At 38.4% G+C, this 15,617-nt stretch overlaps 2 long non-coding RNA genes across 2 annotated transcripts in view; both read left to right on the top strand.

The window, feature by feature from the left end:
• MIR4280HG (MIR4280 host gene) overlaps positions 1-10,326 on the top strand; it is a 73,290-nt gene extending 62,964 nt beyond the window's left edge. Inside the window, exon 2 of the long non-coding RNA NR_186582.1 lies at positions 8,268-10,326. This is a non-coding gene — a long non-coding RNA (MIR4280 host gene). The remainder of the gene's footprint in view (positions 1-8,267) is intronic.
• LOC645261 (PP565) lies at positions 2,990-10,326 on the top strand. Its single transcript, NR_188227.1, has 3 exons — positions 2,990-3,342; positions 3,922-3,982; positions 8,268-10,326. It is a non-coding gene; the product is annotated as a PP565 (long non-coding RNA).
• Positions 10,327-15,617: the final 5,291 nt, after the last annotated feature.

The raw sequence follows: 15,617 nt of genomic DNA, 5'->3' as shown, positions 1-15,617 counted from the left end.
TATGTATACATGTGCCATGCTGGTGTGCTGCACCCATTAACTCTTCATTTAGCATTAGGTATATCTCCTAATGCTATCTCTTCCTCCTCCCCCCACCCCACAACAGTCCCCAGAGTGTGATGTTCCCCTTCCTGTGTCCATGTGTTCTCAATGTTCAATTCCCACCTATGAGTGAGAACATGAGGTGTTTGGTTTTTTGTCCTTGCGATAGTTTACTGAGAATGATGATTTCCAATTTCATCCATGTCCCTACAAACGACATGAACTCATCATTTTTTATGGCTGAATAGTATTCCATGGTGTATATGTGCCACATTTTCTAAATCCAGTCTATCATTGTTGGACATTTGGGTTGGTTCCAAGTCTTTGCTATTGTGAATAGTGCCCCAAGAAACATACGTGTGCATGTGTCTTTATAGCAGCATGATTTGTAATCCTTTGGGTATATACCCAGTAATGGGATGGCTGGGTCAAATGGTATTTCTAGTTCTAGATCCCTGAGGAATCGCCACACTGACTTCCACAATGGTTGAACTAGTTTACAGTCCCACCAACAGTGTAAAAGTGTTCCTATTTCTCCACATCCTCTCCAGCACCTGTTGTTTCCTGACTTTTGAATGATTGCCATTCTAACTGGTGTGAGATGGTATCTCATTGTGGTTTTGATTTGCATTTCTCTGATGGCCAGTGATGGTGAACATTTTTTCATGTGTTTTTTCACTGCATAAATGTCTTCTTTTGAGAAGTGTCTGTTCATGTCCTTCGCCCACTTTTTGATGGGGTTGTTTGTTTTTTTCTTGTAAATTTGTTTGAGTTCATTGTAGATTCTGGATATTAGCCCTTTGTCAGATGAGTAGGTTGCGAAGATTTTCTCCCATTTTGTAGGTTGCCTGTTCACTCTGATGGTAGTTTCTTTTGCTGTGCAGAAGCTCTTTAGTCACATGATTATCTTAATAGATGCAGAAAAGGCCTTTGACAAAATTCAACAACGCTTCATGCTAAAAACTCTCAATAAATTAGGTATTGATGGGACGTATCTCAAAATAATAAGAGCTATCTAAGAAAAACCCACAGCCAATATCATACTGAATGGGCAAAAACTGGAAGCATTCCCTTTGAAAACTGGCACAAGACAGGGATGCCCTCTTTCACCACTCCTATTCAACATAGTGTTGGAAGTTCTGGCCAGGGCAATTAGGCAGGAGAAGGAAATAAAGGGTATTCGATTAGGAAAAGAGGAAGTCAAATTGTCCCTGTTTGCAGATGACATGATGGTATATCTAGAAAACCCCATTGTCTTAGCCCAAAATCTCCTTAAGCTGATAAGCAACTTCAGCAAAGTCTCAGGATACAAAATCAATGTACAAAAATCCCAAGCATTCTTATACACCAATAACAGACAAACAGAGAGCCAAATCATGAGTGAACTCCCATTCGCAATTGCTTCAAAGAGAATAAAATGCCTGTGAATCCAACTTACAAGGGACGTGAAGGACCTCTTCAAGGAACTACAAACCACTGCTCAATGAAATAAAAGAGGATACCAAGTAATGGAAGAACATTCCATGCTCATGGGTAGGAAGAATCAATATCGTGAAAATGGCCATACGGCCCAAGGGAATTTATAGATTCAATGCCATCCCCATCAAGCTACCAATGACTTTCTTCACAGAATTGGAAAAAACTACTTTAAAGTTCATATGGAACCAAAAAAGAGCCCACATCACCAAGTCAACCCTAAGCCAAAAGAACAAAGCTGGAGGCATCACGCTACCTGACTTCAAACTATACTACAAGGCTACAGTAACCAAAACAGCATGGTACTGGTACCAAAACAGAGATATAGATCAAGGGAACAGAACAGAGCCCTCAGAAATAATGCCGCATATCTGCAACTATCTGATCTTTGACAAACCTGAGAAAAACAAGCAACGGGGAAAGGATTCCCTATTTAATAAATGGTGCTGGGAAAACTGGCTAGCCATATGTAGAAAGCTGAAACTGGATCCCTTCCTTATACCTTATACAAAAATTAATTCAAGATGGATTAAAGACTTAAACGTTAGACCTGAAACCATAAAAACCCTAGAAGAAAACCTAGGCATTACCATTCAGGACATAGGCATGGGCAAGGACTTCATGTCTAAAACACCAAAAGCAATGGCAACAAAAGCCAAAATTGACAAATGGGATCTAATTAAATTAAAGAAAATCATATTTTTTAAGTTGAGAATGACCTGCCTGATTGTGGAGATGAGTTAGTTGACCATTCATTCATTCATTCATTCAGGGAATGTTTTTTGAGTGACTGTTAGTAACAATACACTGGGGGTTCTCATTATCTATAAGATGCTATCAATATGTATACAGAAAAGGGACTAGTTCTTTCAGCATTTGTTAAACAAATTACCTTAGAAGGCAACCCAATTTAGGAGACAGGGTGTAGGCTTTAGAGGCAGACTGATCTGAGTTTGAATCTAGGTTCTGCTACATACTAGCTGTGTTATTTTTGACAAGTTAATTGGTGTTCCAATTTTCAGTATTAAATGAGATATTTATAGCATTAAAACAATGTACCTAAAACAATGTCTGATACAAGTAGGCATTTAACAAATAGTCAACATCATGGCCATGCAAATAGGCACAATCAACTTAAGTATCAGCTCAGTTTGCTCCTGTTCTAATAATGATAGGTCTCAGCCCACCTGGTTATTTCCAAGACTATTTTGGAAACATTATAGAATCTTGATTGATAAACAATACAATAGAATGATGATGGTTCATAAGTATTCATATTTAAACAGTTTGAATAAATGTTCATAATTATTTTGCAGTTTAAAATGGCAGTTTTTCTGGGTACAAGGAAAGAAGACTGCTTTTTGACATTATGGAAGGAAGCTGTGAATAGTATTAAATCCCATTTACATTTGTATGCTTTAAAAATTTCTTGTATATAAGCCAGTTCTAATAATTTTTTTTTTTTTTTTTGAGATGGAGTCTTGTTCTTTTCACCCAGGCTGGACTGCAGTAGTGTGATCTTGGCTCACTGCAACCCCCGCCTCCACCTCCACCTCCGCCTCCGTGGTTCAAGCGATTCTCCTGCCTCAGGCTCCTGAGTAGCTGGGATTACAGGTGCCTGCCACCTCACCTGGCTAATTTTTGTTCTTTTAGTAGAGACGGGGTTTCACTATGTTGGCCAGGTTGTGAACTCCTGACCTCAGGTGATCCGCCTGCCTCGGCCTCCCAAATTGCTGGGATTACAGGCGTGAGCCACCGCGCCCAGCCCAGTTCTAATAATTCTTTATTTCCCAGTCGTTTAATGTAAGAAGTAAAGAAATACAAGTAAGTATAATAGATTTTTAAACTTTCTTTCCTGTTTCCCGAACTTTAAAACCCATCACTCAATTTGAAGACAATGCATTTTTATATGTGTTAGGAATTCACTTCTTCATACTTTTCAGATGCTCAGAGATTGTGGACATTATGCCTTTCATCCTTTACCTTTGGAACCAACTTGTATGGGAGAACAACTTATCAAGTATAATTGTACTATGGTCACACATGTCCTTTACTCTCCATGTTGAAAATAGAACTATGACAAGGAAGCAATTACTAGACCAATGTTTTTTTGGCCCAAAGGAGGCTAGTGCAGAATCAGACGAGGTTTTGAAGTGATCTAAAGATCTTGGATCACCTGGGTCCTGGTCATTTCAAGGCTATAGAATCTTAATGTAAATTGGAGAGATATAATTATTGAAAATAAATCTGGGTCTACTCTAATATTGACTTAGACTCATTTCAAAGTCCTAACATGATCTTCAGCCTTCCTTTCAGAGAAACTAATTCTCTAAATATGTATTCCTAGACCCACTATCATTGTCTTTGTACTGAATGATTATTGACAGTTTTTTGGATTTCTAGAGACCTCTCCTGACAGAGAAATATCCTGGTCCCTAGGAAGCATTCTCTGTGATTTTGGTTGGTAAGTATGGAGTGTTTCAGTTTCACATTTTCCATTGGTAACATCTGCTTTTCTCATATGCATTAGTTATATAGAAAAGATCTCTAGAGGATGTCAAATGCCCTTATTCCTTTCCTGTATATTCTTTAAAGTATATTTTCAAACTTCCCTACTAATTAAATTCTTCCTTTTCCCTTTCCTGTTTAAAATTCTCATTGTGTTATGCAAAATGGAGGCCTTGATTTTAGGGAAATGGGTCACATTATCATTTACTTCTTGAATTGTCAAAATAGGAAGTGATTCCACCAAATAAGAAAAGAAACATGCATAAAAGTTGTGATCTTTTTGAAAATATCAGCAAAATTTAGTACTCAGTAGGGGTTGGAGGTGGTAGAGAGGTGGGAAGGAGACCAGAACACAGAAGGCTGTTACTTACATGGAGATGCTTGATCTTTGCCTACTAATTGAAAAAATCATGATCCATGTAACCCAAAATGAAGATGACAACCTAGATATTTTATCAGTTTCATGGTCCACTCAATTCATTTACAGTTGAAATGTTTTGAAAACCTCCTAAAAGTGGAGCTGGATCATTTTTCCTTCCCACATTTGCTGCCTAATGTGCTATCTACAGTTCTGATGGGTTTTCACAACCGTCCAACTTTAGGGTGTTCAGCCATGTTTCTCCAAATAGTCTAAGGGTTCATGTTCACTGGTCAGGACTGTGTTTTCTTATAATCTTTATCAGACATTTAAAAGGAAGATCCTCCATTAAAAGGCCATGACAAAATTTTAAGTTTCAGGATCTGAATAAAATTGTTGTTGCATATGAATGAATGTTCTTTAGAAATAATTCAACCACATGTCAATCAGAATATGCCTAAAGGGAAACTTCTTTAAATTTAGTTTTGAGAAACAGAACTGACATGATGTCATTTTAATAACAGATTGCATTTTAGCCTTAACAATCATGTAAGGAATTAGCAAAATCCTAGTGAATTTCATTTTGATATATAGAATACATCAATGATATCTGGTTAGAAAGCTAGCTGAGTATACAAACATGCCATCATTCCAAGTATTTATAATAATAATGATATGCTTCTAAATTATTTTTAAATTTTTAATTTTAAACTATAAATTTTTGCCAGGCACAGTGGCTCATGACTATAATCCCAGCACTTTGGGAGGCCAAGGCAGGTGGATCACCTGAGGTTAGGAGTTCGAGACCAGCCTGGCCAATATGGTGAAACCCTGTTTCTACAAAAAATACAAAAATTAGCCGGGTGTGGTGGGGGGCGCCTGTAGTCCCAGCTGCTCGGGAGGCTGAGGCAGGAGAATGGCGTGAATCCAGGAGGCGGAGCTTGCAGTGAGCCGAGATTGCGCCACTGCACTCCAGCCTAGGTGACAGAGCGAGACTTCGTCTCAAAAAACTCCTTTCATCTGCTGGGCGCGGTGGCTCACGCCTGTAATCCTAGCACTTTGGGAGGCCAATGTGGGTGGATCACGAGGTCAGGAGATCAAGACCATCTTGGCTAACATGATGAAACCCCGTCTCTACTAAAAAATACAAAAAATTAGCCGGGCGTGGTCGTGGGCGCCTGTAGTCCCAGCTACTCGGGAGGCTGAGGCAGGAGAATGGCCTGAACCCAGGAGGCAGAGCTTGCAGTGAGCCGAGATCACACCACTGCACTCCAGCCTGGGCGACAGAGTGAGACTCTGTCTCAAAAAAAATAAAAAATCCTTTCATCTGTTGCTTGACACCTATGATGGTATCTTATCTTGGCTATTGTAAATAGTGCTGTAATAAACACGGGGGTGCAGATGTCTCTTGTGACACAGTAATTTCCTTTTCTTTAGATAAATGCACAGTAGTGGGATTGCTATATCATATGGAAATTCTATTTGTAGTTTTTTGAGGAACCTCCTTACTATTCTCCATAGTAGCTGTACTAGTTTACTTCACACCAGCAGTGTGTTGAGTTCCCTTTTCTCCACATTCTCGCCAGCATTTGTTATTTTTTGTTTTTGATAATAGCCATTCTAACTGGGGTGAGATGATACACCACAACATTATTGTGGTTTTGATTTGCATTTTCCTGATTAGTGATGTTAAGCATTTTATCAAACATTTGTTCCCCATTTGCATGTCTTCTTTTGAGAAATGTCTGTTCAGATTAATTGGTCATTCTTTTTCTGCCATTGAGATGTCTGAGTTCCTTGTATATTTTGTATATTAATTCCCTGTTGGATGAGTAGTTTGCAAATATTTTCTCCCATTCCATGGGTTGTCTTTTCACTCAACTGATTTTTTTCTTCTGTGGAGAAGCCTCTTAGTTTAATATAATCCCATTTGTTTATTTCTTGCTTTTGTTGCCCGTGCTCTAATAAAATCTTTTTTCAGACTCATGTCTTGAAGCATTTCATTTATGTTTTCTTCCAGTAGTTTTACTGTTTTAAGTCTTACATTTAGGTCTTTGATCAATTTAGGGTTTATTTTTGGATATGGGGAGAAGTAGGGAACTAGTTTCATTCATCTGTATATAGATAGTTTTCCCAGCACCATTTATTTAAGAGAACGTCCTTTCCCCAATGAGTATTCTTGGCACCCCTGTCAAAAATCAGTCGGCTGTAGATATATGGTTTAATTAATTTTGGGGGTCTTTATTCTGTTCTATTGGTCTCTGTGTTTTTCTGCCAGTGCCATGCTGGTTTTGTTACTTCAGCATTGTAGTATATTTTGAGGTCTGGTAGTGTGATATCTCCTTCTTTGTTCTGTTTGCTCAGGGTTGCTTTGGCTATTCAGTCTTTTGTGCTTCTGTACAAGTTTTAGGGATTTTTTTCTATTTCTATGAAGAATGTCATTGACATTTTGATAGGAATTGAATTAAATCTATAGATTGTTTTGGTTAGTATTGTCATTTAACAATATTAGTCCTTCTGATCCTTGAGCGTGGGATGCCTTTCTATTTGTTTGTATCCTCTTCAATTTCTCTCATCAGTGTTTTTCAGTTTTCCTTGTAGAGGTCTTTCACCTCCTTGGTTAAATTTATTCCTAGGTATTTTATTTTATTTTTTGGTAGCTATTGTAAATGGCACTGCCTTCTTGATTTCTTTTTCAGCTAGTTCTTTATTTACGTATAGAAAGATTTCTTTGAATATTAATTTTGAATTTTGTTTTTTGAATATTAATTTTGTATCCTGCAAATTTATTGAATTTGCTTATCAGTTCTAAGAGGGTTTTTTTGTAGAGTCTTTAGGTTTTGCTATATATATGATACGTTGCCTGCAAACAGGAAGAATTCGACTTCCTCCTTTCAAATTCGATGCTCTTTATTTCTCTCTCTTGCCTAATTGCTCTGGCTAGGACTTCCAGTATATGCTAAGAGTGATAAGAGTAGGCATCATTGTCTACTCCCATTTCTTAGGGGAAAAGCTTTTAGCTTTTTGTCATTGAATAATATGTTGCTGTACCAGATGTGGTTGCATTGCTTGAGCAAATTAACACATCTCCTGTTACCTGGTATGCAGCCATTGACTTGCAAATGCCTTCTTCTCCATTCCTGTCCATAAGGCCCACCAGAAGCAATTTGCCTTCAGCTGGCAAGGCCAGCAATATACTTTTACTATCCTACCTCAGGGGTATATCAACTCTCTGGCTTTGTGTCATAATCTTATTTGGAGAGATGTTGATGGCTTTTTGCTTCCTCAAGATATCACACTGGTCCATTAGATTGATGGCATTATGCTGATTGGATTCAGTGAGCAAGAAGTAGCAAACACACTAGACTTATTGGTGAGACATTTGGCTGCCAGAGGATGAGAAATAAATCCAACTAAAATACAGGGATTTACCTCAGTAAAATGTCTAGGGGTCCAGTGGTGTGGGGCCTGTCAAAATATTCCTTCTAAGGTGAAGGATAAGTTGCTGCATTTGGCCCCTCCTAAAACTAAGAAAGAGGCACAATGTCTAGTGGGTCTATTTGGATTTTGGAGGCAACACATGCCTCATCTGCGTGTGTTACTCCGGCCCATTTATCAAGTGACCCAAAAGGCTGCCAGTTTTGAGTGGGGTCCGGAACAGGAGAAGGCTCTGCAACAGGTCCATGCTGCTGTGCAAGCTGCTCTGCTACTTGGGGCATATGACCCAGCAGACCCAATGGTGCTTGAGGTGTCAGTGGCAGATAGGGATGCTGTTTGGAGCCTTTGGCAGGCCTCCATCGGTGAATTACAGGGGAGGCCTCTAAAATTTTGGAGCAAGGCCCTGCCATCTTCTGCAGATAACTACTCTCCTTTTGACACACAGCTATTGGTCTGTTACTGGGCTTTGGTGGAAACCGAATGTTTGACTATGGATCATCAAGTCACCATGCAACCTGAACTACCTATCATGAACTGGGTGCTTTCTGACCTATCTAGCCATAAAGTGGGTCATGCACAGCAGCATTCCATCATCAAATGAAAGTATACTTGATCGGGCTTGAGAAGGTCCTGAAGGCACAAATAAGTTACATGAAGAAGTGGCTCAAATGCCCATGGTCTCCACTCCTGCCACCCTGCCTCCTCTCCCCTAGCCTGCACCAGTGGCTTCATGGGGAGTTCCCTATGATTAGTTGACAGAGGAAGAGAAGACTAAGGCCTGGTTCACAGATGATTCTGCATGATATGCAGGCACTACCTGAAAGTAGACCACTGCATTACAACCCTTTTCTAGGACATCCCTGAAGGACAGCAGTGAAGGGAAATCTTCCCAGTGGGCAGAATTTCGAGCAGTGCACCTGGTTGTGTACTTTGCCTGGAAGGAGAAATGTCCAGATGTGCGATTATATACTGATTCATTGGCTGTAGCCAGTGGTTTGGCTGTATGGTCAGGGACTTGGAAGAAGTATGATTGGAAAATTGGTGACAAAGAAATTTGGGGAAGAGGTAAGTGGATGGACCTTTCTGAGTGATTGAAAACTGAAGATATTTGTATCTCATGTGAGTGCTCACCAATGGGTGACCTTGGCGGAGGAGGATTTCAATAATCAAGTGGATAGGATGACCTGTTCTGTGGACATCACTCAGCCTCTTTCCCCAGCCACCTCTCTTATTCCCCAGTGGACCCATGAACTATGTGGTCATGGTGGCAAGGATGGAGGTTACACATGGGCTCAGCAACATGGACTTCCACTCACCAAGGCTGACCTGGCTACCGCCACTGCTGAGTGCCCAATTTGCCAGCAGCGGATACCAACACTGAACCCTCGATATGGCGCCATTCCTCAGAGTGATCAGCCAGCTACCTGGTGGCAGGTTGATTATATTGGATCTCTTCCATCATAGCAAGGGCAGAGGTTTGTCCTCACTGGAACAGACACTTACTCTGGATATGGGTTTGCCTATCCTGCATGCAATGTTTCTGCCAAGACTCCATCCATGGATTCATGGAATGCATTATCTGTTGTGGGAAGTCAGGGACCCTGAATAGAGGGACTGGGTGAAGCCACAGCAGAAGAACATAAATTGTGAAGATTTCATGGACATTTATTAATTCCCTAAATTAATACTTTTATAATTTCTTATGCCTGTCTTTACTGCAGTCTCTGAACATAAATTGTGAAGATTTCATGGACATTTCTGACTTCTCAATCAATACTCTTATAATTTCCTATGCCTGTCTTTACTTTAATCTCTTAATCCCATCATCTTTGTAAAGTAAGGATGTATGTCACCTCAGGACCCTGTGATGATTATGTTATCTGTATAAGTTGTTTGTAAAACATGCGTGTTTGAACAATATGAAATCTGGGCATCCTAAAAGAACAGGATAACAGTGATTTTCAGGGAACAAGGGAAATAACCATAAAGTCTGACTGCCTGCGGGGCGGGGCGGGGCAGAACAGAGTCATATTTCTCTTCTTGCAAAAGCGAATAAGAGAAATATCACTGAATTCTTTTTCTCAGCAAGGAACAGCCCTGGGAAAAGAATGCACTCCCACTGACAGGCCCCTAAAATGGCCGCTCTGGGAGTGTCTGTCTTATGCAGTTGTAGATAAGGGATGAAATGTACCCTGGTCTCCTACAGCACCCCCAGGCTTGTTAGGATTGGGAAATTCCAGCCTGGCGAAATTCTAGTCAGACTGGTTCTCTGCTCTTGAACCCTGTTTCCTGTTAAGATGTTTATCAATGACAATGCATGCACAGTGGGACAGGGTACCTTATCAGTAATTCTAATTTTGCCCTGGCCTTCTGACCTTGCCCTGCCCATTTGCCTTGTGATATTTTGTTGCCCTTGAAGCATGTGATTTCTGTGACCCACACCCTATTCGTACACCCCTCCCCTTTTGAAATCCATAATAAAAACTTGCTGGTTTTGTGGCTCAGGGGGCATCACAGAATCTGCCGACATGTGACATCTCCCCCGGACACTCAGCTTTAAAATTTCTCTCTTTTGTACTCTTTCCCTTTATTTCTCAGACCAGCTGACACTTAGGGAAAATAGAAAAGAACCTATGTTGAAATATTGGGGGCTGGTTCCCCCGATACTTATCCACTATCATGGTATTCCACACAGCATTGCCTCTGACCAAGACACTCACTTTACAGCTAAAGAAGTGCAGCAGTGGGCTCATGCTCATGGAATTCACTGGTTTTACCATGTTCCTCATCATCCTGAAACAGCTAGATTGACAGAACAGTGGAATGGCCTTTTGAAGTCACAATTACAGTGCCAACAGTGTACAGTGACATTACTTTGCAGGGCTGGGGCAAAGTTCTCCAGAAGGCCGTGTATGCTCTGAATTAGTGTCCAGTATATGGTACTGTTTCTCCCATAGACAGGATTCATGGGTCCAGGAATCAAGGGCTGCAAGTGGAAGTGGCACCACTCACCATCACCCCTAGTGTTCCAATAGCAAAATTTTTGTTTCATGTTCCTGTGACATTACATTCTGCTGGCCTATAGGTCTTAGTTCCAGATGGAGGAATAGTGCCACCAGGAGACAAAACAATGATTCCATTAAACTGGTAGTTAAAGATTGCCACCTGGACACTTTGGGATCCTCCTACCTTTAAGTCAACAGGCTAAAAAGGGAGTTACACTGTTGGCTGGGGTGACTGACCCAGATCATCAAGATGAAATCAGTCTACTGCTCCAAAACAGAGGTAAGGAAGAGTATACATGGAATACAGGAGATCCATTAGGGCATCTCTTAGTATTACCATGCCCTGTGTTTAAGGTCAACGGGAAACTACAATAACTCAATCCAGGAAGGACTACAAATGGTCCAGACCCCTCAGGAATGAAGGTTTGGGTCACTATACCAGGAAAAAAATATGACCTGCTGAGGTGCTTGCTGAAGGCAAAGGGAATGCAGAATGGGTAGTAGAAGAAGATAGTTATCAATACCTGCTAGAACCACATGACCAGCTGCAGAAATGAGGACTGTAACTGTCATGAGTATTTCCTCCTTTTGTTAAAATCATGTTTGTAGATGTATACAGCTGTACTAAGAAAATATCTTCATTTTATTTCCTTTGACTTCATCATGTGACATAAGATTTATTGATTTCATTTCAGAATTGAAGTATTGTTAACTTTACATAATAGTATTTGAGTTGGGGGATTGGTGTGTTTCCGGTTGTACTAAAGATAGTTGTATTATGTTAGGCCTAATTATGACCTTATTATTTTCTTTATTTAAAGATTATGTATGATTTCAGGAGATGTGTATGAGATGTGTATGAGTGTCAACTTGATTGGATTGAAGGATGCAAAGTATTGATCCTGGGTGTGTCTGTGAGGGTGTTGTCAAAGGAGATTAACATTTGAGTCAGTGGGCTGGGGAAGGCAGACCCACCCTTAATCTTGTGGGCACAATGTAATCAGCTGCCAGTGAATATAAAGCAGGCAGAAAAATATGAAAAAGTGAGACTGGCCTAGCTTCCCAGCCTACATCTTTCTCCTGTGCTGGATGCTTCCTGCCCTTGAATACAGGAATCTAGGCACCCGGCTGACTTACTCTTTTAATATCTGCATGATATTCGGTTTTGTGGAAGCACAAGCCTTCTGCTGATGATATTCATAGTGGTTCTAAAGTATCGCCACCACAACTAATGGGCAGTAGGGCATTTTCAGAGTAATTATTTTAATTTTTAAGATATATGGTACTAAAATGGCTGTCATAAAAGGATAAAATTTATTTAAAAAATGATTTTCCTGTGGGACTGTTCTTCAGACACTTATTTCTCTCTGTTGATGAGCATGTTTGCTTAAATATTATTATAAGTCCTTCTGAAAACATAAATGCAAGATGCTTATTCTTTATTAACTATCATTTATGAAAGAATAATATTAGAAAACATTTCTAAGATTGAGTTCCTAAAAAAAGTTTTGTTGAGCATGGCTTAGTGTTTTGTAAATGCAACTATTTGGAATTCATATTTTTATTTTTCATGATTTATCCCACTATTTTTCTCACTTTAGAAATTATGTTAAGGCTACTATTAGAGAAGAAAAACCTGAAGAGAAGTTAGATTTTCAGGAATGAAAATGTGGAATGCTAAACAGTTTAGTAGCATTTAGTCTACATCTTTCAAATTTTAAATAGCTCTTCATATTTTATTTAACCACATGACATGTATTCAAGTTGGATGAATGTGCCAGATGCTAAATTTATACTTAACTGAAAAATTACCCAGTAGCAATTTAGAATTCAGCAGACTTCATCATATTAGTAACTTTTTATTATTTGTATGAATTAGCTCATGCTTCTCATCCTAAGTGTCATGGCTTCTCTACGATTGAGGCTCAGTCTGTAACTATTCTCTGTTTTCAATTGGTCATTTAATCAAAATTTAAGCTTTTATTCCTAATCTTTCATGGATTATTTTAGTGACTATAAATAATGCTATTTTATCTTTTCCTTTTTAAAATCATATCAATTTAAAGCACTTAGTCTTAAATTAAATTAAGGGAGACATATTTGGATTGATATAAATGGACTAGACATTTATACATGCAAATTGGCTAACTATACTTCTAACATTCATTTATTTCTGTATCTGGCCTAGAATGTGGAAAAAGATGTAGGAGTAATTATCTCAAATGTTTTAAAAAGTTGGATTATATTGGAACAGTGTCTGACAAACCTGGAGAAGACAATGCAATTGACATTGATTGACACAATCTCCACTTTGAAAATAACCAGCCAATCTGCTTAACAGAAATTACAAAGGAATACTGTTTAAATCCCATATTTTTTAAAGGACATCCAATTTTATTATTGTAAACTTTAAAAATAAATGTTCTTTTAGAAAATGGAAAACAAGCATAATAAAATATGGCAATTTCACCAGAGGAAAATTATAGTCACCAAATTTGGACATGTACTGGAACATTTTTCTGAACAAAATGAACTCTGTTAAACTTGACAAAGGTAGGGTGAGAGCACATAGACTTATTGAGGAAAGATACTAGCAAAATCGTTTGCAATATTAAAAAAACTGAATATATCAATAATAAATTTTAAAAATTTAGTCATTAAAAGGCTTATATATGGATTTCCATAAGCTTCAGACTTAATCCTCCACACACTTGAAAGTAATAATACTAAACTTCTTAGCAATAGTTTTATCTTCTGCTCCTTGCTTCTAATACTTGTTTAAAAAATTGATTTTTCAACATACTTCTGCTATTTTTAATCATCCAACAATTATAAATATTTATTATGTGCTAATTCCCAAATGCTGTATACTTGCAGCACTCAAGCTAGATTTACTTTTTGCTGTGGGGCAGTAAATGAAAAATTTCAATTCAATATTAATTGAAGTGCAACAAAATACTTGTTGATTTTTTTTTAATTTAAAAGGTGTGACTGTTCTGTCCTTCTACTAACCTCTTACTAATCAGTCTCTACCCTGATAAAAATCACATACTCTTTTTGAATTGCAGTTGCATCATGTAAAAATTTTGGAACACTAATAATCAAATGGTAGGCAGAACTGATGTTGAAAAGCATTCTTTCTTTACAAACACATTGAATTACAGAAAACGAATTACCATTTTATAGCTGTATAAAATCACATAGCTGAGTTTCAAAACAAGAAAGTCAAATCTCTAGGAGCTGGAAATAAAGTGGAAACAAGCAATGGCAAGTGGGAATTGAAACTGTGTGGCCCATTATGGTAAATGCTTTAGAGGCTAGGACTTTGATGGCAACACAAAAACAGGATTTAAAGTTACAGACCATGTACTAGAGGGGCTATTCCTCAGCTCGTTGCACAAAACCAGGAGCTGCAAACATACATCCCATTGGAAACACTCGTCCTTTTTATTCCACGGAAGGGCATAAATTATGGTCACTCGTCCTGCACCATGCATGAAAATACTACTATCAAGAAGCCTTTGACTTTTATGATACTTTTGGAACCCCTCAGTGAAAAAACTAGGTAAAATATGCTCTGTAGCTATGAATACTGTATCTCTTAACAGAGCCAACAATAAAATTGTCCCAAAGAAAATGCAGTATCTCTACAGAAGACCAATTACCATGGGGACGTGCTCTTTCACTCATGAATGAGAAACTACTGTGGGTCTTCCTCTCTTGACAAAACAACTAGAAAACAGGAAAAATAGCTGAAAAACCTATTTTCAGAAATTGTTTAACAGGAATCACAGGACTAGGATTCCTAATAGAAGGGAAGCATATAAAATGAAATCTATAGTTGCCCTTAGCTTTCTGCCTAGAATTTCTAGACTGCAGTGAAGGGAGGAGAAATACAAACAAAGCCGTATAGTCTTAATGGGTTGAAAAAACCAAGACCAGAGATCAAGAAGGTGAGGTGGCTAGAATTTGCTGCTAAGATTTCCAGAGAACAAGTTGCTATGCACAAAAAGTGCTCCAGAAATCTATATAATAAGGTCCTTGAATCTTTGGCTGAATACAAATCAGTGAACATAAAGGTAGAACTTTATTAAGTCAGGTAAAGAAAAACTACCTGGGAGAGAAAAATTAGTGGAGAACCAGAAGCTGAATAACTCACAGAACTTACACAGGGCTAGGAATTATCTGAGTTCCTACTAGCCAAAGTGGAGCGATATCACTGAATATGTAATGCAGTCAATAGAAATCCCAGAAAGGTCATGCCTTAGTAGTGGGGGCTAAGTTACCTCAGTGTAAAGGTAATTCTAGACCCACTCTAAAAAAGCTTTAGAATACGCCTGAAAAATATGCTGATCTGCAAGTAATTTAAATGCCTGCCAGAACAAAGTCCAACATTACTTAAATGAAATTCAGCACTTACCAACATAAAATTAATGTCTGACATTCAAAGAAGAATTACTAGACATTTGAAGAAAGCTGGAAAATATGATCCTTAACCAGAAGAAAAATCTGTCACTAAAAACAGACACAGAAATGAGAATGATCATGGAATTAGCAGGCAAGGCTTTAAAACTATTTTATACATGAACACACATAGAATATGAATATAAAAGTATTAAATATTCTCGATGATGTAAAGAAAAATGTAAACATAATGACAGAACCAAATAGAACTTCTAGAGATGAAACTTTTATAGGATGGAACGATCTGCAGGTTAGACATTGAAGAAGCAAAGATTAAAGATTTTGAAGACAAAATAATATAAATATTAAAAGTGAAACAAAAATGA

Source organism: Homo sapiens, chromosome 5 (assembly GCF_000001405.40).
Source record: "Homo sapiens chromosome 5, GRCh38.p14 Primary Assembly".
Classification (NCBI taxonomy): Eukaryota; Metazoa; Chordata; class Mammalia; order Primates; family Hominidae; genus Homo; species Homo sapiens.
Note: the sequence above shows the minus strand (reverse complement) of the source record. Positions and strands in the feature narration are given on the sequence as shown.